The following is a 27,202-nucleotide window of genomic DNA, read 5'->3' as shown; positions in this document are numbered from 1 at the left end:
GTGTGAGCCACCGTGCCTGGCCCCTGCATTCTTTAAGTGCATTGATTGGATGCTTACCATGTGCCCAGCGCAGAGTTGATGTCAGGGATACTAGGTAGAAGACACATTTTCTAGACCTCATGAGAGGACATAATGGGGGTCCCATGTGCCCCACCTGTCTTTGACAGGCAGTACAAATGCATCACAGTTGTAGCACTACTCAGCTTCAGTGCTGTGAAATCTATGACCCTCCCCAATTATTTACTCCAGATTCTAGTAATTTTACCTATTTCTGCCACCTTGGGTCCCCTTCTACTTCTCGTGTCAACATCCTTCAGTCATGGTACTTTGATCTCAAAGAAGCTCTTGCTTCTTCTTCCATTTTTGTCCAATTTCTGTCTCTAGTCCATCACCCAAGTCTACATAATCTGTATTCCTTGACTCCACCTATGTCTGTACCTTCATAACCTTTAGTGTTATTGGAATCTTAACTTTATTTGTGTGATTCTTTGGTTACTACCTCCTGCTTTAGACTCTAATCACCTCTGGGAAAAGTAGTGGGCAACTCACCATTGTTTTTCTGACATATACTTGTATCCTGGTGACAGATTTTTTGGGGGTCTGTCCTTCATGACACCAATCTTAGCAGACTGGTTTTAGCAAATATTGGGCAACAGAAAGTCAAAGACCTTGAGGAGCATGACTAAATAAATAAAAAGCACCAAATTGAAAACCAGAAGTCTGAAAACAAATCCTGATATTATCTTATTAAGGTTTGATATTTTAAGTAAAATTGCAAGTAAGCTTCAAATCAAATGTCTGGTTTGATATTTAAGTAAAATTGTTCTCTTCCATTGTGAGATCCTCAGGGGTTACCTCTTCTGACCTCCCTGAGTATACCTATTGCACGTATTGTAGATTTGTTTCATTCACAGGTTTCTACAATGATAATTCTACGTGCCAAGCAACTCCAAATAAGTGACTTTCAACAAGAAACATTGATTTCTTATTTATGTTCATGGGCCTGTGGGTTGACTATGGCTGCATTGGGCTCAGCTGGGATGGGCTTCAGGCTATGGGAGGTACATCAAAGTCACATGGCAAAGGGTGTAAATGTTTAATTCTATTTCATCCCAATATATCACCATATTTTCAAAATACTTCATCTCTCTCTTTCATCACATGTATCAGAGTTAAAATTTTACATTTATTTGTGTGATTATTTCGTTAATACCTGTGGCTTCCTCTGGACTCTTGAGGATGGGAGGTGTGTTTTGGGCTCACCATTGTTCCCAACGCACCTGGGACAGTGTTGTGGGCAATATCGGGTACTCAGTGAATGAACAGCCATTGTTTGAAAGAATTAGCTTCTGATCTGCCTAAAAACCATCTCAGGAATGGAAATGTTTCTTTGTAAGAATTATTGAAGTGATACTAAATGCCTTGTTTCTAATGTTTCAGAAATCCCCTTGCTATATTCCCATTGTGAGCAGTGCCACCCTGTGGGATAGAAGCACACCCAGTGCAAAGGTGAGTCAGCGGAATGTTATGTGCAGGGCTGCTCCATAGTGCCGTCCTTTAGGGTTCAGTTGCTTTACATGTAAGCAGATTTGTTTCTTTGTATTTTTGACTTTATAGCTAGTAAAGGATTTTTTACATTTTAAAATAAGAAGAATGTTAAAAGACATTTCCTAGAAAACTTTGGATCTCTGTTTGAGAGTCATGCCAACTCCTTATTCTTTGCACGCAGATATGTACACCTAGAAAAACGTGTATCATCCACTGATGTCCAAGAATAGAAATCACAGTGCATTAGGGGTCTTTGCAGTGCCTGTATGTGGCCAACATACAGAAACTAGGGCAATAATTTTATCTTACCATCATCCATAAAAATTTACAGCTGAGTTCACTAGGCAAAAAGTTGACCTGTTAGTAGTGTTCCTCTCCTGTACCACCTTCTACTAATTGGTTGCTAACGCTCTTTTTCTTGGTGAGAGCCAAAGTGAATGTTTGTCCCTACGATGTGCATATGCATGACTATGAATGACTACGATGTGAACATGGAGATGGTCACCATGGCTGGCAAGTCCAGTTGTCATGGAGCTGTGGTAGCTTTCCAGATTCAGTCCCACCGGAGCTTTGTTTACAAAAGCAGGATTGGGATAAAAAGAACCTTTCAGCCAACACTGAAATTTACATCCTAAGGGCTTTAATCACCTTCATTTCCTTCCTATTTACCATGAAGGGAATTGCAACTTCCTCTAAAAAGGAACACAGCCCAGCAATACTGAGGAAATCACAACATCCCAAGCACATGAGGAGGAGATAGTTTTCTCTTCTATGGACTCCCTTTTTCAAAATTCGTGAGCAGGATTGGCTTAAATTACAGCTTGCAGAAAAGTAGCATATGGTGACTGGAAATACGATTCAAGAGTAGAAATCAAAGATGTAGAAAATCACATTTTAAGATTAATGGAAAAGGCCAATAGTAGAAAAGATGAAAAACATGACCTAGTTGAAAAACATGACCTGGTTTTCTTACTGTTCTTACTTTGCACTAAAGCAGAGGAATATAGCTAAGTAAGGCACCTGCAATATGGTGTTTCATTAGTTATATGTCCATTTGGACGTTAAGGATCTGTGCAACTGAGGGATTCCATGACTCCCAGAATGGACTGTGTTAGAAAGGAAACAGGCCCCAGCAAAGTCCCTTTGTTACTACTATTCCACAACTAGTATGTCAAGACTCTTAGAAGGCAACACTTCATGAAAGGGGACCACAGATCCAATCTCACATCAAGGAGTAGTGCAGGTGACAATGAGAGTTGGCATTTAGCTCATACTGCAGCAAGATGATGCCTCTGGAGCTCACAGACCAGTGCCCCCTGGGTGCCACTCCTTTCCTCTGACAGCTTAAGTTAGGATGGGGAAGTGAGTGCAGTCCTATGTAGATCAGGACTTGGCATCAGCTAGATCCTCTTTTAAATTGCATCATCCCTTCCTCTCTCTTTCTTCTCTCTCTCTTCCTCTCTGTGTTTTTGTGGCTTTGGAGGAATTATAGAAATAGGACTAAAAACTTTTAAGATGTATATCTTTAAAATACTTTCGTATTATTTGTTTTATATATAGTATATACTGTATATTGACTGCCATATACTTTATTATATATTATACATGGTATATTATGCACTGTACGTCAGATGTTATATAGCACATGTATATGAAACATATATCATATATAACATACTATCATATATGTCAGATAACCTGTATTGTGTATGTGTGTGTGTCTTTGCGTGTCTCTGTCTCTGTGTCTGTGTGTATGTATTCCAGTATTATACCTTACATATTGTATTTACTGACCACCTAACAATAGTCAGATACTAAAAGCAACAGTAAAGAAAAAAGTCTTTGCTTTTTAAGAGACTATCAATAGTGAAGAACATAAATAATGGGAAATTATCAGATAAATAATTCAGATAAATAATTCAGGTAGTTCCAGGAAACTGCTTTGTTATGAAAGCTGTAGATTGGTGGTAATGAGGCTGAGGGTCTCTTGGGGTAGGAGGAGGGTGCTGCTTTTGTTAGGGTAGGGTGGTCATGGAAGGCCTTTCTTCTTCTTCTTTTTTTTTTTTTTTGAGTTTGCTGGATCATATAGTAATTCTATTTGAACCCGGGAGGTGGAGGTTGCAGTGAGCCAAGACTGCACCATTTCACTCCAGCCTGGGCGACAGAGTGAGACTCTGTTTCAAACAAACAAACAAATAAACAACAACAACAACAAAAATAGACTTAATAGTGAGCCTTTAGAATCATTTTCATTAAAATAAAGAAAAACACCAATGACTACTATTATTACGTCTACTCAAAAATGTCCTCGGGGTTCAAAGCAATAAAATATAGGGAAAAATATATAAGAACTGGGGGGAAAAGATAATATTGATTATCTACCTGGAAATTCTAAAATTATCTCCAAATTATTAAAATATATAAATTATTAAAACTAAAACTATAAATTACTTTGGAATAAATTTAAAAAATCATAGGACATATATGGAAAAATGTATAAAACATTATTTAAGGATACAAAAGAGGGTGCCCAAATAAATGAAGAGATAGTATGCATATGAATGAGAAGTCCATCATAGTATTTTTGGTGAAGTTAAAAGAAGACTGATCCTATAAGTTAAATGAACGATCAAGTTATGATCTTTCAGTTATGAAGAAGAACAAAATATGGGAACTTGTTTTACCAGATATCAAGACTTTTTATAAAGACTTAGTCCTTAAACAGCATGCTATTTGCTCAAGGGTAGGCCCGTGGAACTGAACAGAATATATAAATCTGATATACAAAAGAAAGGATATTAGATACTGATGGGGAAAGGAAGGACTATTCAATAAATGGGGTGGGGACAACTGGTTATGCCTACAGAAAAAAAAGGTAATATTATATATCTATTCACACTAAATAGAAAAGTAAACTTTGGGCAGGTTTAAGAAAACAGTAACTTTTAGATAAAATACAAAATATATTTTATGATCTGAGGGGTATAAACGGGTTTCCTAGGGTATAAAAATCATAAACTTTCAAGATATATTGATAAATTTTACTACATTAAAAATTAAAAAGTTTCCTTTACCAAGCTTTAAAACAAAAATAAAGGACAAGTTACAAGTTAACAACAAATATTTGGAGAGCAAATACTAACAAGGAATTTATATCTATAATTTACATAGAATTCCCACAAATTTGTAAGAGAAAGATAGTTAACTGGGTAGAAAAATGAGCAAAGGATATGAATTGACAATTCACCAACAGGAAATCTGAATATCCAATAAAAGTATAAATAAATGTTTTAGTTTACTAGTGTCAAGGGAAATGCAGATAAAAACTGTAATGAAAGATGATTTCATACTCATAAGTTGACACAAATGAAAATGTCAGATGATAAAAAGTGTTGACAAAGGTATAGAGAAATGGAGAGTCTCACATAAGCTGCTGCAGAATCACTTTAGAGAGCATTTTCATGATCTAACACAGTTGTAGAATGCAAACACCTTTTATTTTATTTTTTGATACAAATATTTGTACCTATTTATGAGGTACATATGTGATATTCTGTTTAATGCACTGACTGTATAATGATCAAGTCAGTGTGTTTGGGGTGTCCATCACCTTGAGTATTTATCATTTCTATGTGTTGGGATCATTTCAGGTCCTTTCTTCTGGCTACTTCGAAATATATAATACATTGTTGTTATTGATAGTCACCATACTCTGGTAATGAACATTAAAATGTATTCCTTCTATCTAAATGCATGTTTATACCCATTAGGCAACCTTTCTTTATCCTTACTCTCACCCTAATATGCTTCCCAGCCTCTAGTATTCATCATCCTGGAATGCAAACAAATTTGACTCAACAATTTCCACCAAGGTATGAAATTAGAGACTGTGTACTCAATGAAGACACATAAAGCAGTTGTCCCCAACATTTTTGCCATCAGGAATTGGTTTTGTGGAAGATAATTTTTCCACAGACAAGGAGGGGTTTGGAGGAGATGGTTTCTGGATGAAACTCTTCCACCTTAGAAGATCATCAGACATTAATTAGATTGTCATAAGGAGTGTGCAACCTTGATCCCTCGCATGCACAGTTCACAATAGGGTTCGAGCTCCTGTGATAATCTAGTGCCACCACTGATCTTACAGGAGGCAGAGATCAGGTGATAATGCTTGCCCCCAGCCTGGCACTCACCTCCTGTTGTGCCACCTGGTGCCTAATGGCCTGGGGCTTGGGAACCCCTGACATAGAGGACTGTTTTCTGATGCAATGATTTGTAATGGAACATTAAAAAGCACATGTTCATTAACAGGAGAGTAGATAAATACCTTGTGGCCTAATTTATGCAATGGTCTGTTGCAACTAGTTTAAAGGAATAAATTGAAGCTATACAGACCATCAAGGATAAATCTCAATAATCTGATGGCGAATGAAAGTATCAAGTTATAGAATTACTTACATGTTTGGTAAGACAGATACTGTCATTTAGAAGATAAAATTATACACCTTTGCTTTTCCCTCCCAGTTTAGAACCATTTGAGATGTAGACACACAGATCAGACAGATGTTGGTAAAAATATATTCCAGGTCAAAGCTGGATTGAAGAGCTTAGTAATGTTTCCAAAAATATAAACAGATCATATTCTTCTGCTCACAGACTTCCAATGGGCTTCAATTTTACCACAGTAAAATCCAAAGTCTTTATCATGATTCCAAGACTCTACATAATCTGGACCCCTCTACCCTACTGGTCTCCCCACTTGTATTTTACTCTCCAGCCCCTTCCTCTGCTCAGTCCTCCAAGCACACTTCCCTCCTAGGTCCTTTGCAATTGCTGTTTTGTCTACTAACAATGCACCTTCTTTCAGGTCCTGAGCCCCACTTGCCTCAAAACCAGTAGACCTGGTCTGGATGCACTCTCCCAAGAAACTTGCCAACTAATGACCAAGGATCTAAAATAATGGTGTCCAAATTTTAATTGCAAATGTCTAGCAATGATAAAAAATTTAGTGCCCATATCTCATATACTTATAGACAGATATGTACTACTCCATTCATTAAAATGTTAGAAACTAGATTATAATGTATTTATGTTAGTATTTGTCAATTTCTACACTGCTATAAAGATACTACCTGAGACTTGTGAGACTGGGTAATTTATAAACAAAAGAGGCGTAATTGACTGACAGTTCTGCATGGCTGGGGAGGCCTCAGGAAACTTACAATCATGGTGAAAGGTGAAGGAGAAGCAAGTACCTCTTCACAAGGTGTCAGGAGAGAGAGTGCAAGGGAAACTGCCACTTTTAAACCATCAGATCTTGTGAGAACTCCCTCACTACCATGAGAACAGCATGGGGGAAAATACCCCCATGATCCAGTCACCTCCCACCAGGTCCCTCCCCTGATTACAATTTAAGATGAGATTTGGGTGGGGACACACAGCCAAACCATATCAACTATTATGTTATAACTATTTATATAATATAACAAAAGTTATAACATAATAGTTGATATATGTATATTATATATAGTATATATATTATGTTATAACTATGTTTTATATATGTTATGTTATAACTATGGTATACCATAACAGTATATAAACACTATATAATATATAATGTATATATACATAATATATTATACATAATGCATTTGTAGTATATATTATTATGAATAGCATATATATAGTGTATATATATTTTTATGACTATGTTATAACTGGAGTACTATTTTATAACTATTATGTTATAATGTATATGGCATAAAATAGTGCTTTATGTCTCAGTTATTCAGTGGGATGTCCCATTGAATTTAAACATAAAAGAGATCAATTATAAATGATTATCCTTTCATGTCTAATCAGATGCTTTCGTACTATTTTTAATGAATATGTCAAGAAACATTATACACATTGTAAGAATAATGGGTCTGGACCTGGCGTGGTGGCTCACGCCTGTAATCCCAGCTCTTTGGGAGGCCGAGGCGGGCAGATCGCTCGGTCAGGAGATCGAGACCATCCTGCCTAACACAGTGAAACCAAGTCTCTACTAAAAATACGAAAAATTAGCCGGGCGTGGTGGTGGGCGCCTGTAGTCCCAGCTACTCAGGAGGCTGAGGCGGGAGAATGGCGTGAACCCGGGAGGCGGAGCTTGCGGTGAGCGGAGATCACCCCACTGCACTCCAGCCTGGGCGACAGAGTGAGACTCCGTCTCAAAAAAAAAAAAAAAAAGAATAATGGGTCTAAAGCCACATTTCTATTAGTGTTCTTACTAAATTTCAAATATTGTGGCCAACTTCTTGAAAATGTATTTGAGATCATCATTCTTTTTACTTTGTAATGTGGCAGAGGAAGATATCATATTAGAAAAAAGGAAGGGTGTTGGCTCAGTCATTTTATTCAATTGACCAGTTCAACAAATATTTATTCAGTACCTGCTGAATGATAGAACGTAAGATCCATGAGGGCATGGCCTAGTCTGTCTTACTTTTTGTTGTATCCTTAGCTCCCAGCAGGATGCTGGTACAATGTAGATGTTCACTTGATTTTTATTGAATAAATGAAGGAATAAGTGAGTACTTTGCAGGTACTGGAGGCACTCTGGTGAGCCTCTGTTCCTGCTTTTCTATTGCTGTGTTTAGTTGCTGTTCCTGGAATGACCTTGCTTTTCTCTGGAAGCTCCCACCTTTGTACCATATCTCCCACCTGTCTTCCCCTTGTTCTCAGCATGTAGCCCCACACTGGATGGAATTTCTCTGCCACAGTTTGGAGTTGGTCTCAGTTATCAGGCCTCTCCTTGGGGAATAAGAATGGAAAGCGACCCCATCTGTACTTCCCAATAAGCTGCCCACTAAAGCCACCCCTCCAGTGCTTGCTTTCCTGCTGCTCTTCAGGAGCCCTTATTGATAGAATTGTTGGGAAACAATCGTTAGTATTTGTGGAAAAAAATTGCTTTCTGAAAATTATGTTCAATGGTTTCGTGTTTCAAACACATAACCAAATCAGCGATTATAGTTAAACACGTATTTTAAATTATTAGCATAGCGGAGACACAGGAGAGTTGGTCATAAACAGGTTTGTAACCTTGGACTGCATCTTTTCCACAGCAACTGTTAAAGTGGACATTTTAAAGAACAAGCCAGAATGCATCCAGGCCATGGGTGACCTGAGGACTCTAAGAAGTCAGGTAAACGTAGGGCAGGACAGACAACCTGTGGCCTAGAAAAGAGCATCATTTTCTCAGCAGGTGTGAGTTAGATTTGTACAGAAAGGCATTTTGAGATGTTTTATAAGAGAGTAATTTGAGAAATAGAGTGTCTTCATCTCAGCATGACATGGCGCAGAACTCATTCTCAATCTCCTCTCTGACTTTAGCAGGGATTAACTCCTGCTGTTTCTGAGATGGTCTGGAGATACCTTTTATATTCAACTAAGTGCTTCTTTGGGCATTTAAGTATGAGCATGGGAAGATTTTAGAAATGTTTACTTTTTCTAATATCCAGTATGAACATCTGAAAGAAAAAGTGTCCATTCATTTTGGCAAAACTACTAATAATTGGCCCAGATGATAGCTCGCAAGTCAATATCCTATGGAAATGATATGAGGATGATATCAGCATACCTGGGGAAGGTTCCCCTAGGGATTCCTCTGATTTCTAAGAATTTGCTCTGCCTAGAGTCATAGAGCATAAAGCTAGAAAGAGTTGCTTTTCAGAGGTGAAATCACAGGCACAGAGTTATGAATAAATGCCATAGGTTTTGATTTCTAAGAGATGTGTATTGTTGTCTGGGTTAAATTAATAAGTATTAGGTGTTTCATTCATTCAATAAATTGTATTAAGTGCAATATATACTAGGCATTAATTAAGGCATATAGCAGTGAACAAAAAAACTCTGACCTCATGGAGTTTTCATTCCAGTGTGGGAATCAGACAATAAATTGATGGTCCAGATAGTGATAGTGATACTATAGAGAAAAAGCAGGATAAGGGAACGGAAGCATGTGTTGTTGTTGATATTTGTCATATAAGAGCCTTATTTGCAAGCAGCAGAAGCTAGTATAGTTTGGATGTCTCCTCCAAATCTCATGTTGAGATATAATCCCCAATGTTGGAGTTGGGGACTGGTGGGAGGTGTTTGGGTTATGGACGTGGATCCCTCATCGCTTGGTACTGTTCTTGTGATAGTGCGTTCTTGCGAGATCTGATTGTTGTAAAGTGTGGCACCTCCCCACCCCTACTTTTTCTCCCTCTTGCTCCCACTTCTATCATGTGAGATGCTTGTTCCCGCTTCCCCTTCCATCATGACTGTAAGCTTAGAAGCTCTCATCAGTAGCTGAGCAGATGCTGTTGCCATGCATCCTGTACAGCCTGCAGATCCCTGTGAGCCAATTAAACCTCATTTCTTATAAATTACCCGGTCTCAGGTATTTCTTTATAGCAATGCAAGAATGGACTAACACAGAAACTGATTCTGGTTGACTGACCAAAAAAGGAATTAAATAAAAATAACTTTGGATGCTTTACAAGATTATCAGGAGGAGTAGACAAGAAAGGCCAAGGATGGACTTCCAGGAACAGTGTCCCAAGGGACACTGCACAACTGATCTGATACCTGATACCACCTGCCACCACCTCCACCACTGAGAATGAGATACCACAGCTTGTACTGCTGCCACTTCTGTGGCAGGAACTCAAATTTGCATTTTCTGCTACTGCACAGCTGCCAGAAAGAGAATGAGAAAGAGAATTTCCCGTCCTTTCCTCATGTATTACTAGTTCATGAGTCTGGCTGCTAATGCAAGTGCCTGAACATTGACAGTGCTACTTTACAGATTTGTTTCAAGATTAAGTGAGTTAGAGCTAATAAACAAATTCAGCAAAGCTGCAGAAAAATCAACATACAGAAATCAGTTGTGTGTCTATGCACTAGCAATAAACAACCTGAAAAGGAAATTAAGAAAAACAATTTCATTTAAAATTGCATCAAAAAGAATAAAATACTTAGGAATAAATTTAACCAAGAAGGCAAAAGATGTGTATGTTGAAAACTGTAAAACAGCTGAAAGACATTAAAGATGACCTAAATAAATGGAAAGACATTCTATGTTCATGGATTGCAAGACTTAACATTAATATGATAGTACTACCCAAAGTGATCTACAAATTCCATGCAATCCCTATCAAAATTCCAATGGAGATTTTTATTTAAATTATTTAGAAATAGAAAAACATATCCTAAAATCCATGTAGAAACTCAAAGGATTCCCAAATAACCAAAACAATCTTGAAAAAGAACCAATTCAAATGTTCATACTCCTGATTTTAGAACTTACTACAAAATGACACTAATAAAAACAGTGTGGTACTGGCATACAGATAGGCATATAAACTGATGGAATTGAAAAGCGTACCAAGAAATAAACTCTTACATGTATGGTCAACTGATTTTCAACAAAAATGCCAAGATCATTCAATGGAGCAAGGAGTTTTTTCAACAAATTGTTGTGGGAAAACTAGATATTCACATGCAAAAGGATGAAATTGAGCACACACCTTACACTGTATTTAAAAATTAACTCAATATAGATCAAAGACAGACATGTAAGAGCTAAAGCTATAAAATTCAGAAGAAAACATAAGGCAAAATATTCATGACCTTAGATTTGGTAATGGTTTCTTAAATATGACACAAAAGCATAGGTAAAAAAAGAAAATATAGATAAATTGGACCTCATCAAAATTAAATTTTTTTTGTGCATCAAAGCCACTATCAGGAGAGTGATCAGACAACTTACAGAAATGGGAGAAAATAGTTGTAAATCAATCATATATATATACACACACACACATCATATATACTATTATATATATAATTATATGTGATTAGTATATATGATATATATGGTTAATATCCAGAATATATGAAGAATTAAAAGTCATCATCACCAACAAAAGACCAACCCAATTAAAAAATGGGCAAAGGACTTGAAAAGAAATTTCTCCAAGAAAGATGTACAAATGGCCAATAGGCACATGAAAAGATGTTCAACACCATTAGAGCAATGTAAATCAAAACCACGATGAGGTATCACTTTATACCCATCATAATGGTTGTTATTTAAAAAATGAAAAATGATATGTTTTGGCAAAAATGTGCAGAAATTGAAACTCATGCATTGCTGGTAGGAATGTAAAATAGTATAGCGGTTGTTAATACAGTTTGGTGTTTCCTCAGAAAGTGAAACATAGAATTACCATATGACTCAGCAATTTTATTCCTAAATAATCGAAAACAGAGAAATGGATACTTGTATACCAGTGTTCATAGCAGCATTATTCACAATGGCTAAAAACAAAAACTCAGTGCCATCAATAGGTGAATGGATAAATATATATATATATATAAAACCGAATATGATTCAATCATAAAAAGGAATGGAGTTTGATACAATGTGGATGAACCATGGAAATATTATGCCAAGTAAAATAAACCAGACACGAAAGAGCAAATATTATGTACTTCCACTAATATGCAGTGTGATGGTTCATTTTGTGCCAACTTGATTGGGCTAAGGGATATCCAGATAGCTGGTTAAACATTGTTTCTGGATGTGTCAGTGAGAACATTTTTAAAAGAGATTAGCATTAGCTGTTCTTTGCTCAGCAGACTGAATAAAAATCATCTGTCCTTATCAATGGGGGTGGGCATCATCTAAATTGTTTATTGTATGAGCCTACATAGAACAAATGAGTGGAAAAAAGATGAATTTTCACTCTGCTTGAACTAAGATGTCATCTCTTGCGCTTGGACATTGGCTTGCTGTTTCTCAAGCCTTTGGACTTGGACTGGGAGTTACACCAGTGGTTTGCTTGATTTTCAAACCTCTGGGTTTGAACTGAAACTATACCACTGGCTTTCCTGGGCCTCCAGCTTGTAGACAGCAGATCAAGGGACTTCTTATACTAAATCTGTTTCTACTTATCTATATATATCCTATCGGTTCTGTTTCTCTGGAGAACCCTGATTACCACATGTAGTATTTGAATTGCCAAATTCATAAAGAGAGGAAGTAGAATAGAGGTTACCAGGGGCTGGGGAGAAAGTAATAATTGGGAGTTATAGATTAATGGATGCAGAGTTTCTGTTTGGGATGATGAAAAGTTCTGGAAATAGTGGTGATGATTATTGAGCATTGTGTATGTACGTAATATCCGTTAATTATACACTCAGAAATAGTTAATGCAGTAAATTGTATGCTCTGTATATTATACCATAATTAAAAATAAAGATTAAATGAGGTAAAACGCTTAGAACTTTGCCTGGAACATAGTTAAATGCTGTATAAGTGGTAGCTATTATTATTTCGTGCCAGATACTGGGGATGCAACCATGACTAAGGGAGCAGGGAGGAAAGACAGATCTCTTATATCACATACAGAGGAATAAAAATCAGACAGTAGAACCTTCAGCAGCAATGATGGAGGCTGGCAACAGTGGAATAACATCATTAATGTAATGGGAGTTACAACAATCTAGTGTTGTGTACCTAGCAAAATGATCTTACAAGAATAGAAGTGAAATTAAGATATTCTAAGATAAGCAAAAACTGAGAGATTTCTCTGCCAACAGACCATGATGAAAGGAGTTTCCAAAGATTGTGTTTCAGGAAAGAGCACAATGGCCCCAGAGAGATCTAAGGTACAAGGCGATATGAAAACAGAGAAAACTGGGAGAGTCGCTGACACAACGCATGCTGCCCAGCTGCATCAGACTGAGCCTCGTGAATTCTCTGGGCTCTATATCTTCATGGACAATGGATGCACTGAGGAGCCCCCTGCCCCTGTGACCTTCTACCCTGAGTAGAACGTTTTCTGCGTCAAAACTGATTGGGTAGCTTGTTGAATGAATATCAAATACTGGGAAGAAGGAAGAGGAACATACAGTGGAATTTTTACATTTTTCTTTCATTGAAAGGGAAGGATGGAACGGGTTAACAAGTCCTTGGACAATCAAGGTAACAGAATTCAGAAGAAAGACATCAAATGCTTCCAGAACCACAATAAGAGATATGTAGAAAAGAGAATATAAAGCAGCAATTCACCTGAAATTTGACTTCTAGAAGGAAAAGATTCATTTATTCCTCCTTTCCTTTGGCCTCCCTCCTCAGAGGAGAGCAGATCCTGAGAAGATACATGTCACGATGGGGAACAGAGTCATTGTGGATCTGACTCTTTAATGATATTTTGCATATAGTCAAATTCCACTTTCTACTCCTAAATACAGAAAGAAATGGGAATCTGTAGCAGTCTTCTCAGTCCTGCTGAGTAGGGGGGATGCTTAAATCCCCCACCCCCAACCCATTCCCCATATTGTTTTATACAGTTCAAGGCTATGGCCCCTCTGGTGTCATCTTCCTCCCTTACCAGTTTCTCTCAAGAGCCCCTATTTCCTGCTCTGGTAAGAGGGATTTGGGGATGATGGAACATTCCCCCTGGCATGGGTCAGGTTTTCCAGATTGAGTTGCCAAGCACAACTGTCATCTGTCTCAATTTGGACCATGGGCTAAACTCAACCCCAGGGGCTGGAAAGCAAGCACAGCCCATACCCAAGCTTGCTTATGTGGAGCCTGGGCCACCAGTCTTCCCAGAATCTTTGGTCCCAACCAAGGCTACCCCTGGCTGCCTGCATGACCCTATTCTATTCTGGCCTGAGAAGGAGGAGGAGGCGGAGGAGGCAGAGCAGGGAGAACACTGTAGGTTTTGACCAAGACTAGAAAACCATGCATATGTCTTATTAAAGTCTAGGAGGTTCTCTGGGCCAGAGAGAATACAATAATCATTCATGTTGTGTCTCTTCATTTCCATTTGGAGTTTGGGGAGACCTTCATCAATATAAGGCAAGAGCAGTAGAGTAGAAAAGGTAGTATGTCCTTTTATTCTGAGTGTGTGAAATATTTCAGGCATCTAAAAGTCTAGAGAAAACTATAACAAACTTGTGTACCCATCATTCATCTTAAGAATAAACATTTTGCAAATACAAATGCAGTAGAATCCCATTTTCAAGGAGAGAAAGAAGAGGTTGGGGAAGAGGGAGAGAGAAAGAGAGTGTACTTGACAAGCACCCAAGTTTCCCCACAGCTTAACAGCGGCATGGGGCAGGGGATCCAGAATTCCCAGTTTGATGCAGAGTGGGGTGTAGGAATGCTATAGGAGCCAGGCCCAGGAGTAGCCTGGGGTTTAGGCACTGACCCCACCCATCTGGAGGTCTGTTGGGACCTGTTACATCAGCTATGGAGAAAACAGGGAGAGAGATCAAAGCAGAAAGGCCAGACAGGAAGAGACTCTCCAGAGGCCAGGAATGGCCTAGCAGATGGCACTCAGAGTTATCACCCCCCCTTCTCTGGCACCAAGGAAAAATTTTTCTCCTGCAAAGCTCCACGCTGGAGGGGCAGAGTAGGGTGCACACTTAAGAGTGGAGGACACTCTGAAAATGACTTTAACATTTGAAATAATTGGGTTTAAATTCTGAATTGGCTGAGCAATTATCTAAAAAGAGATTATTTTAAACCTTGTAAGTTACCTTGCAGTGTTAAGATAAATTGTTTACTGCAAGTTGAGTTGGATTAAGAAAGTAACATTAAATGTGTTAAAAAAGAAAAAAAGAGAGAGGAAAGGGAAGGGAATATCAGTTAGAAAAGTGAGAGGGACGTCTCAGGACTTTGAAAAGGTATGATGGCAGAGCGCAGTCTTGTTTTCATTCATCTGTTCATTTGACAAACATTTCTCGAGTACCTCTGACATATTAGGTATTGTTCTCGGTATTAGAGATAGACAGTGAGCAAGACGAAAGATAGTTTCCAGTATTAGAGCTTACATTCCAGTAGGGAGAGACCAAGCCACTGCTAGGATATATGGAGCCTCTGTTTAAATGTACAATGGGTAGAAGAGGACACTTTCTCCTGTATGATGCAACCGCCATCCCTGGTTGACAAGAGGGATGTTGGCTTGAGGCCAACCCACTCCTCTTCCCCTTGGCAAGGCTTGCACTGAACAATCACATATAGAGGTTCTGGACAAGACAGGTAATACACAAAGTGAATAAATAAAATAAATGGCAGTTCGATGGTTGTAAAGAACCCAAGGGGAGTAAGCGTGAGCATGTCTGTGCATGTGTGCACGAGGGTGTGTGTGTAGGGTGGTAACTTTTAAAATATGGTGGTCACTGGAAGCTAATAATAGTATTTAGCAAAGAGGTGAAGGAGATGAAGCATTAAGTCATGAAGATATTTGGAGGAAGTGTGTCCAGGGAGAGGGAACAGCAAGTGCAAAGATCTTGAGGCAATAGCAAGCCCGGGATATTGAAGGGACAGTAAAGGGGCTGGACTAGAGCAGGTGAAAGGAAGATAGTAGGTGACAGGTACGTGGGTACATCCATATTTACTTAGGACAATTCAGGTTTATACTTGAAGTTCCAGAATAATTATTACTAGGCTCCCCTTTCGCACTAGAAGTGTTCACAAATGGTCAAAGCGGTTCCAGATCCTGTTCAGCCTGGTAGGAAGGCACTGGGGATTTGAATGGGATGTGGAGCTGTGGGAGGGCTGTGAACTGCGAGCTGCAGGATGTGACTTTGGTTTAACGGGACTGTCCATGCTAACTTCTTGGAGGTGGAGGAAGAGCTAGCGGTTAGGGATTTTTCCCAAGAGATTGGGGTTCAGGTGCATGGGCAGCCTGTCTGGTCCTGAGGATGCCCTCCCAGGTCTAGCACTTGGAGTCTCGGTCAACAGTCCGACATGCATATGAGTGTTCAACCACTTCAAAGCTAGCTGCACCAAAAGCAACTGGGGAAAGGGAGTGCAATTGCAGTCTGCTTTGAGTCTTTAGAGCAATCCTATGTTGCAAGAGCAGTTGCTGTATTTTGGATCATGCTAACTCTCTGTAGCATAATCTTTTTTGTGATAAACTCTATGCCTGAGATCAAAAGATTACATTAAAAATGATTTCAGGAAGACTGCCAGTGGTAGAGGACTTTGAGCACTTAACCAGAGTCATTCGTTTTCCCATGGTGGATGTGACATTGATCAGTTGAGTTTTAGGAGTTAGCATTTTGGGAGAGCAGAGATAAGTCCATGTTATTCAGCTGGAGATAACTGGGAATCAGAGCAAGAAGGGTACTGATAAGGTCAGTTCAGTTCCGGAGTAGAGGTTGGAACTGCCACCGAGCTCTTAACTGTATTCCACATCACCTACAAATGTGATGCTGAGGCTGCTAGTACCAGCTTTGAGGTGGCTACTGCTTGAGTGTGTGACAAACACAAGCAGAATAATTGGTTAAGGATAGTGATTATGCAGACAGACCCTAGGATCAGACAGCCTGAGTTCAAATCCTGGCTTTGCCAATTTATGTCCTGGGATTTTCTGAGAAATGTCTTATCTTTCTGCAACTCAGCTTTCTCATCTGCATATGTGGTAATAATAACACCAACCTAATACGGTTGTTGTGGGAATCAAGTGAGTTAGATGTGAAATGCCTAGAACCGTGCTGCCAGGCATGCTAGCTGTTACTATTATTTCCTTTGACCAATGTTGTTTATATTTGTGTCTCTTTTTAATGAAGCTGAGCCTTTTTGATCACAGTGATCAGCATGCTATAGTCTTTCTGGTTTGGGAAGTAGGTGAATAATTTCCTTTGAGGTTCTCTTTATATCCATCACCAAAGGTTGATTTTAAGCAAAGTGTGAGGGTAGCTTCCATGGCAATTTAGCCTTTGTCTCAAGTTACCATTCTCCTTACAAGTATGAAAAAAATCAAAATTAAACTTGGGTCAAATTTCAAAGTAAAACTTTTATTTTTAAGATATAAATCTGATTGGGCAAGTGAAATTTAGAATTGTGGTAAACAAAAATGGATCATTCTCAGAAAAATAAGGTGAGATTCTCCAATAAAGAAGAGAATATCATTGCAATTTATTACCATTTAAAAACATTATTATTATATGGATGTATTTGTGAATTCTGTTTTACCTGCGAAGCTTTCATATGCTACTAATGGGTTACTTTTAACACAAGAATAAGTACATCTCAAGGAAGACCATATCTGGATTCATTACTCATCATAAGTATAATTATTGTTTAACAATATTATGAAGGGCTGGTGATGAGATGCAGGTGTTTAAACATGCAGTGCCAATAGATTTGACACGGTATTCAGTTCCAGGCGTATACATTTTTAAAGATTTCTATTCACCAAGGGGACAATAAAACCCCACACAATGGTAAGTATGTTTGCTAAAAACATGAAGTGACTGGTTAATTTTTAGTCTTTGGATTTTAAAATGGAATATTTCTTTTTTCAGCAATAGTGTTTCTTAACTTAGTAGTCTATACACTATATTTTAGGGTAAAAAAATGAAACGTGGATGTATTGATCAAGTCCACCAATTTGGGGGTTTCAAACCGTCTCTGGGTTTTGGGACAAACTGTATGCAGTTCAATTTCAGACTGAGCAAATAAAATACAAAGTGGAGGCTTGACGAGCATTTTTACCTGAAATTATTGGTACTTAGTAAAGATGTACCCCAACCCTCTAGCTTCCCAGATGAGAAGACTGAGGCTACAGACGACCATGATTTGCATGATTTGCTCAAGAAAATTCGGCTGGTGGTTCAGACACTTCAGACACGAACCTAGGTCTCCTAATTTTTATGTCTGAACTCTTCCCAGTGTGTTACATGGCCTCCTGTTAACCCTGAGGCTCTAATTGTTTGAATTCTTGATTCACTATATCCAGTCAATAGACATCTTTGAATACCTATTGTGTGCTATGTTCTGTGCATGTTCTAGCTCTGGGATAACTGTGTAATTCCTTGACTTGATTGGATGTAACTATTCTGCTCTTTAGTCTCTGATTGGTTCATGCTTTCTTTGATGTATGCATGTTAATGTTTTGATGTTTGTGTCCTGTCTTGAATGGTTAGCCCTCAGTCAAGAAGGAGTGGGAGAAACCACCATTTACTTAATACTGCTGTGTATTTTACATGTGTTACCTTTATAAAAAGATTATGAAGCTGGTACTTCACCCTAGACGAAGATAAGCTAAATCACTTGATAAGGTTAAATATCTTTTAAGTGACAGTATGGTAGATTAGTTCACCCACCGCTTAATGTAGTGCCTGGTATACAAACCACTTGAATTGTGTTGAATGAATGCTGGGCTTTAAACTCAGACGTAGGTGGCTCCAGTGTTCTTTTCACCATATTTAGTTGCCTTTTTGTTTCTCCTAGGGTCAGGAGCACCCCCCACTTTTTTTTTGAATGTCGCTTAGCATGTAAGCAGTCATTTAATAAATATCTTTTGCTTATGATGACATATAAATTCCTCAGTGCTTACATAGCTGCTATTACAGTTTTTTTAAGAAGAAGAAATTATGTACTTGTAAAATTAATTTTTGAAGTTGTCATTGGAAGATCAAGACAAATAACAACACTTTGAATAGTGCTATGAATACCATTCAAAACGCTGGAGTCATGAAAATCTACCCACTGCATCCCTGTAACCACTGCTCTGGGCTTGAGACAGTTCTTTCTGCCCTGTGGCTCTCACACACTTCGGGTGATTTTCCTTGTCCATGATATGATGACAGCACCTAGGCTCTGCTTATTTAAACAATTTACATGGATGGGTGATTTTAGCCCAATCATGATAGCTTACATTGCTCTGGACTAGGCACCTTATTGGTATTATCTCATTTTAGTACTTTCAACAGTTTTTCAAAATACTTTGTTATTTTATAGGCAAGGAAAGTTGAATTCAAGAGTGGTTAAGTATAGGCGAACTTCTGTAATGCAGGCTGAACTGCTATGTCATTTATGTTGGCTATGGTTTATTGCCATACTCCCAGTTATTTGCTTACTTATTCACTGATTTTCAAAAATGTGTATTAGTTGTTATTATATGATGGTGAGCCAGAGAAACACAAATCAATTTTTGCCAAGAGTGCATTTATACTCTCTCACATGTACAGAGATACATGTACAAGGTTTATTCATTGCACCATTCTTTATGATAGTAATAAACCAGAAGCAACCTATATATTTAACAGCTGGGGATTGTTTCAATGCATTCTTAATATTATAGAATACTATGCCCTTTTAAAAAGAATGAGGCCAGGCGCAGTGGCTCAAGCCTGTAATCCCAGCACTTTGGGAGGCCAAAATAGGTGGATCACCTGAGGTCAGGAGTTGGAGACCAGCCTGACTAACATGGTGAAACCCTGTCTCTACTAAAAATACAAAAAAATTAGCCAAGCATGGTGGCAGGCACCTGTAATCTCAGCTACTCGAGTGGCTGAGGCAAGAGAATTGCAATGAGCCAAGATTGCACCAATGCACTCCAGCCTGGGCAACAGAGCAAGACTCCATCTCAAAAAAAGAAAAAAAAAAAAAGAATGAGTCAGAACACTATATCCTGAAGAGCAAATTTATACATATAAGAAACATGGCACAGGCAGTAAGTATCATATTGTGACAAGGACAATGTACAGGTGCATATTCCTGATCTTGACCTCTTCTGATCTTGACTGGTCTTTGAAGAGCAAAGTGTCTTTGCTGCTTGGGCCAGCCATGCCAGGTTGGTTTGTTGGGTTAATCAGTGATGGGTATAGAGAAGAAGTGAAAGAACTCTAGAAAGGTTAGTGATTTTGGAGTGAACTGAAGTGACTGAGGAAAAAGATAAACATATAGGAAAGGTAGGAGAAAAGAGGGGAAAGACTAGAACTAGAATAGATTGAATTTTGAAGAGACAGCTTTTTGGGATGGAAGAGAAAGAAAGGTAGGAAGAAGCAGGGGAATGATTAACTGTCCTTTAGCAAGTTTAGCCACCTGCTCTCAGCTATAATTTCTGCACCTGTGAAATAGGCACCGTGCTCTTTATTTCATGGTATTGTAGCAAGCATTTGGTGCGTTGATTTAAACATCTAGCTCAGTGCCATGGAGATGTACATCTATTTCTACTATATTTGGTCTTCTTCTTTAGTAGATCTCATTAGGGTCAAAGCAAAAGCATATGGGCTAAGGCCAGGGGTTTTGGGGCAGGAAATACACTGCTCATCTGCTCTACTTTTTTCTGCTTTGTGTCTGCTACTGACTTGACTCTTTAGTCTTCTGCTACTATTGCCTTAGCATCTTTGTAAACATAATCTCCATGAATCTCCAAAGTCCTAATAATCTAACATGGTTCTACAATGCTGACGTGGACATTTTGTTACTAAAATATAAAAGCAATCGGAAGTAGATGAAATCAGCCATAGAAATTGTGAAGCACAATTTTCTATTCTAGTCATTTGGCCAAAGTAGAAAGAGAATTACTAATTTTTCATGAGGATAGAAAATAGAAACAAAAAAAAGCCATGATTCCATCTTTTACTTTGCTAGTACAATAACCAATGGATTGGTGGCACCTGCTACTCACAGTTCTCAATTGTATATATTTAGTGGTGATTCTGTCAGGCTACTCTAAATTCTCTAAAATTCTCTATGAATATTGTCATTTAATTGTCATAACTATCCAATCAAGTAGAGACTATTATTATCTTCACTGTACAGATGAGGAGACTGAGGCAGAGAAAGAGAAAGCAAATTTTTTTTTTTTTTGAGACGGAGTCTCACTCTGTTGCCCAGGTTGGAGTGCAGTGGCGTGATCTTGGCTCACTGCAAGATCCGCCTCCCAGGTTCATGCCATTCTCCTGCCTCAGCCTCCCGAGTAGCTGGGACTAAAAGCACCCACCACCATGCCTGGCTAATTTTTTATATTTTTAGTAGAGACGGGGTTTCACCATGTTAGCCAGGATGGTCTCGATCTCCTGACCTCATGATCCGCCTGCCTCGGCCTCCCAAAGTTCCGGGGTTACAGGCGTGAGCCACCAACCCGGCCCAAGATAAAGCAATTTGCCCAAGTGCCAGATCCAGGATCCAATCTGGGCAGTCTAGCTCCAGCGTCTGTGCTTTGGTTCACTGCACACATTGCTTCTGAGTGCTGATGAGTACACCTATTTATTATTGCTGTTGTTGTTGTCATCATCAACAATGTTTTCCCCTTTCTTTTCCCTCCCTCAAATAAACCTCAGCTACAAGTAAGAGCTCAAGAGAAGAGTACGGAAAGGTGGGGAGTGTGCTAATTACTGATTCTAAGAGCTTTGCTTGGGACGCCTTCACCCTGTGCTTGCATCCTTTGACAATTGCATTAACCTGTCAATGTGCTCAGCTCTATAGAACATTCCATACTTCTCTAAGATCTTTTGGATTCTCCATACTGTCTTAAGAACCATGAGAAGTAGGAAGGGAAGGGAACATTGTTCCTGTTTGACTAGTGTTCAGTTTAGTGATTTGCTCAATGTTGGGGAGTTGTTAGTGCCTGAGCCAGCAGTGTAACTACTCTGACGAGTCCTAATACATTTCCTTTTGCTTCAGGATAGTGTCAGAATGAGTATTTCTGTAATACAAGCAGCTCGAGACATATCACAGAAAATAAGTTTTCTGAGAACCCAGAGGGGAAAAATTATTTGTACTAGAGGTTAGAAATTTGAGAGATAGAACCAATTCAGATTACAAGGATGAATATCAGGTACCCTATATATACAATTTGGAGTGATGGGAGCCAGATGGACAAGTTATTTAACCACTCTGTCACTCATTTTCCACATCTGTAGGATGGGGATAATAAAGTACTGATTTCTTAAGGTTATTGTGAGGATTTGATGAATTAAAAATGTCTAAAGTGTTTAGAACAGTGCCTGGTCTGTAGCAGGTACTCAATAACATGTTAGTTGCTGTTAGTTTATAATAAGCAAGAAAATAAAATGTACTTTTAAATAAAACATATACTTAAGGAAAATAATGCTATTTTTCTCTTTCAAGAGCAGTTGCTTCTTTATGGTTTGGAGAATCTCAGCTAACTTACCTTGCAAATTTTACAACTTGATTTTATTCATCCTCATAATTAGATTTGGTTTTATACAACAAAGTTCTAATTCCTCGTTTAAATAATTTCCCCACTCTGGGTTTCCAGCATTTATTCTTTATGATACTTACCGACATTACTTGTATTCAGCAATGAGCACTCTGACGCCATCCTGCTTTTGCCAAGAAGTGCTTTTCAAATTTCAGATTTTTCCTGCAGCATAAGATTGAGAAATAACAGTTTACAAAAAAAAAATCTCACAGAAGCTTAACATCTGTTTATGCAGTGACCTCAATAGGTAACTTTGAGTCTCCTTTAGTAAATTTTCTATGAAAATTCTGGTTGGTCTACTTCTTATTTGTTAGAAATAACTTTCACTGGAGGAAGTCAGGCCAAAAACCTTGCCAGCATATTTAACTTCTTGTCCTTTAAGAAATTATACTTTGATTTTAGAGGTTCAACTTTACTAGATAATGAAATTATCATGGTGGAACAAGCCATAGAAATAATAAATACAGTAATTCTTCTTTGCCTATTGTGTGCTTTTGCTATTCATAAATTTTAGGGCCTTAGATATTAGATACACTTACGTAAGGCCTCACTAACGGTAATTATCTTTTGGCTAAAGAAAAAGCCCAAACCAATGCTAAGCTGCATTATCGCTTGGCTTCTGACATGAGCTGATAATCAGATTTTCTTGCTTAAATCCATGGTGCTCGAACAATGCTACCCACTGTCTGTGCTTCCCGATATTACCCTTAATTAGAAAGAACAGAAACACAAATCTGAATTATTTCAAAATCTGGTTTCCATGGTCAGTGGTTTGAAGGGCTTAACTTTATTATAAATAAACCTGGCTTTATTGGCTAATGAAATCTGAAATGCGAAGCCTGGGATGGAAGGGAGGGTAATACTCTGATGTTTACACATCCAAATATCCAGTGTGGGCAAAGTGTATTGTAATAAATCATTGGATAATTGAATTATGATTCCTTTGTCCAAGCACGATCCAAACCCCATCGCTACAGAGAACCTGGAAGGAACTTGAATTTATGTTTTCTTAAGAAGCAACATCTTTAGGTCTAGTAATATATCTATCAATAGCTGTCAAGGAGATGTTGATCTATTTTACATTTCCTCCCAAGTTAGTATTTTTTTTTCCTTTGACACCTTAGAGCACATAGTTAGAAGCGTGTGATGGTCTGGCCTTGTATCCATATGCATCTTCAATGTATCATTCTCAAATATTCACACTGAGCTCTTTTTGCAGCATAGAATAATGTGTGGGCTGGTGTCTGAGGGAGGCAGATAATGAGATGGGACATCAGTTGTATTTTTATTTATGCTCTTGTAAAGAGAAAGCTAACAATAGGTGAGGATGCCTGTTCCCATTGGGGTGGATAATTAATAACTAAGTGGAGATAGTAACTTTGTGCTTCCCCTGGAAAACAACTTCAGAAAGCTGATTTCTAGAACCGTGATCACATATAAAACCTCAGATGATATTGAGAATTGTGATTTTTGTCTATATTTATATCTATATATCTACGTATCTCCTTCTTCTCTGTGGGTGGTGGAGACCTAAGTGTCTATGTGTGTGTGTGTGTAAACCGTAGTCTTCACCTTTTTCATTCACTGTTTAATTTTTTTAAAACCCTATCTTTTCTTCATTTGCAAACATTATCTTTTCCCTTTCAATTTTCATTGATATTTTCTTTCCATTCATTTGCTTTCCACTTCTGTGCTAGGCACTTTGTGGTTGCTTTTTCACTTAAACATTCACAGCAACAATTGTTACTCTTAAATCTCATTTTCCAGATCAAGCTATTGAAGCTTAGGGAGGTGAAGTAATTTTCCTGGGATCACATAGCCAGTAAATGGTAGAGGCAGGATTCCAACTCAGGTACGAATTCCAAATCCCATAATCTAGAGCATATGTTATACTGCTCTGCCAAGCCGTGTGTTAGCTACTTTTAGATTATTCCCTTTGTCTTTATCACAATTCTGTTTCATTGGCTGAGGTAGAATCCCCTCTCTCTCCAGTGACCGGAGACCAGGCTGAATGTGTCTGAGGTCCAGGTACCTGCAACTTAAGTGATTCCTCATGGGGTCCAGGATTTGCCTTGGATGGGGATAGTGAGGCAAGAAGCATGGCCATTACTACTTTCAGGGAGAATAATCATAGAGACAAGTTGGTGCCTATGGTGATCCTGGTAAAAAGAATTGGGAGGGTGCCTTTTGAAGAAGCTGGATGGATACTCCAGGACCGCGAGATGGAAAGCCACAGGACAAAAAAAATCATCCAAATCTAGACAGTGTAGACGAGTGAGCAGTGAGGGTATCTGGTCAAACATGGTAGACTGGCCATACTTATTTATATCCCCTTCCCTAAACTCTGTAAAATTAGTGGTGAAACAGAGCCTCTGAATGGTATGCTGCAAATAGGTTGCATGTGGGCAGAAATATAAATTTATTGAGTCCTTTTGGTGGTTGTGTAGGAGCTGGAATAGCCAGGTCAGCTCAGGCTAGTTCCCCCTGGCTTTGAGTAGCTTCTTCCATTTACCCCAGCATTCCCTACAACTATTATCCATTTTTAATGTCACATGATTTTGAAAGATTGAAACGCCCTGCTTTAAAACAAAATGCATTCACACACAAGGATAAAGACAAAGAGAGAAGACTATGCTAGGTGAGGAATTTCAACAATTTTTGGAAAGCTGTGAAGTTGGTTAAAAAGTGATAACTGAGTTAACAGAATGAAGTGACTCCCAACTTCAGTCTACACAGGGGCCTGATGAGGAGAAGTGAGTCAATTCATGCTACCCCCCAGAAAAACCTGGGTCCTGAAGGTTCTCCATATCTTCTAAACCAGGGAGTGCACACAGGGCTTAGAACAGGGGCCTGGTGAGGGGCTGGATGCAGAGTTCTATTTCCTCTTGGCTCACCCTGCAGAGTTGGGCCAAAGATTTATTATCTGGCAAAATTAGGCCAGAAGGACTCCCAGCTCGGGGATGAGGTGGGGATTCCAAGTGGGGGTTTCTTGAAGTTTTATATAGTGGCCTGTGGGACACTCGGGCCCTTTCCTCCTGCTCTCTACCCAGAATGTTACCGGTCTGGTAAATACATTCTTGGGCTGGTGTTTGGAGGACATACCAGGGGAAAGCCTTTCCCATTCTGACGGTGAGGGACCTGTCATTGGAAAGGTAGGCTGGCTGCCCCATCATGCTTCAGGGAAGTCCACTGGTCATAAGCCCTGACTGAGTGAATCCAGAGCTGCAGTCAGCCTTTCAGTGCCTTATTGTTAAATATGAATGACAGTCAAGGCTCTGAAGGATCCTTGAGGAAGGCTTTTAACATAAGATAAATGAAAACAAGCAGAAGAGAGAAGCTCAGAAGACACTGAAACTACACAGGGAACCAAACAATATGAACACAAATCTAACACTACTAAGGCAAGCCCAGACCCTAAGATCAAAATACTCAGGAATAAGGGAAGAGAGAACATCCATTAAATAAGAACAGGATGCCATATTTTAAAAAGTGACAGCAACAAGAAGAAATAGACAGGAATTAAATGTGTGAAAACCAAGATTTTTAAAAAGAGCAGCATAAGAGTGAAAAGATAAGTTAAAGGAAGCCCTTAGAAAGTAGAAAGAAAAAGCTTTAAAAATGGAAGGAGAGAGAGGGGAGAGAGCAAGAGAGCGAGAGAGTGAGAGAGAGAGAGAGAATGAGAACACAGAGGGGAGAAAATTATTCCTAAAAAAGAAAAAATATTTATAGAATTGCAAGGCAGGAATTTCCAGATTGATATGGCTTGCTCGAGTGCCCAGTATAATGAAAGAAAACCCACACTAAGACACTTTGTTATAATGTTATTTCAATAGTGACAAAGAGATCATAAAAGTTTTCAGAGATGTAAGAACAAAGAATACAAATAAAACAAACATCTCCCAGATAGCTCACAAACAAAGGAACATAATGGTATCAGACTACACCAGCTTTTGATGCTAAAAGACAGGGAAATTTTCTTTTTTTAATTATTATTTTAAGTTCTGGGATACATGTACAGAATGTGCAGGTTTGTTACATAGGTATACATGTGCCATGGTGGTTTGCTGCACCTGTCAACCTATCATCTAGGTTTTAAGCCCCGTGTGCGTTAGGTATTTGTCCTAATGCTCTCTTTCCCCTTGCCCCCCACCCCTCGACAGGCCCTGGTGTGTGATGTTCCCCTCCCTGCGTCCGTGTGTTTTCATTGTTCAACTCCCACTCTTATGAGTGAGAACATGCGGTGTTTGGTTTTCTTTTCCTGTTTTAGTTTGCTGAGAACGATGGCTTCCAGCTTCATCCATGTCCCTGCAAAGGGCACAAACTCATTATTTTTTGTCTGCATATTATTCCGTAGTATATATGTGCCACATTTTCTTTATTCAGGCTATCATTGATGGGCATTTTGGTTGGTTCCAAGTCTTTGCTATTGTAAAGAGTGCTGCACTAAACGTGTGTGTAAGTAAGACGGAAATTTTCAAAAATGTATGTGCACTTGTATAAACAATCTTCTGTCTAACTTGAGGCAATATATGGCCAATTGAATACACTCAGTAGATGGTAGATATTATTTTCTTTCCAAGTGGCAAGATTTTGGTCTCAGATTTTAAGCTTTGGTAGGAAGTGATCTTGCAGGTTAGGAGAAGGGC

The 27,202-nt window shown here is 38.7% G+C and overlaps 1 protein-coding gene across 43 annotated transcripts in view, besides 1 other annotated feature; it reads left to right on the top strand.

Annotated features, from left to right (window-relative positions):
* C12orf42 (chromosome 12 open reading frame 42) overlaps positions 1-27,202 on the top strand; it is a 516,167-nt gene that overhangs the window by 160,675 nt on the left and 328,290 nt on the right. For 31 of the 43 annotated variants that reach the window (XR_001748690.2, NR_170332.1, NR_170337.1 and 28 more), the window contains one exon: positions 1,441-1,509. The exons of 1 other annotated variant lie outside the window; for it this stretch is intronic. Coding sequence is in view for 23 of the 42 variants with exons in the window: in NM_001386867.1 (NP_001373796.1) it covers positions 1,441-1,509 (69 nt within the window). In the remaining 19 variants the exon portion in view is untranslated. Of the gene's footprint in view, positions 1-1,440; positions 1,510-8,654; positions 8,735-13,179; positions 13,565-24,323; positions 24,409-27,202 lie in introns of all 43 variants that reach the window. 11 more of the 43 variants (NM_001386868.1, XM_047428804.1, XM_011538300.2 and 8 more) reach the window with 3 other exon arrangements.
* Positions 10,087-10,146: an enhancer, noted in NCBI's record as "active region_6891". NCBI's record gives its function as "activates an Ori minimal core promoter by ATAC-STARR-seq in GM12878 lymphoblastoid cells {active_cell/tissue: GM12878}" and the evidence as "EXISTENCE:reporter gene assay evidence [ECO:0000049][PMID:35858748]".

Source organism: Homo sapiens, chromosome 12 (genome assembly GCF_000001405.40).
Source record: "Homo sapiens chromosome 12, GRCh38.p14 Primary Assembly".
NCBI lineage: Eukaryota > Metazoa > Chordata > Mammalia > Primates > Hominidae > Homo > Homo sapiens.
The sequence above is the reverse complement of the archived record's forward strand: the minus strand, read 5'-3'. Positions and strand labels throughout refer to the sequence as shown.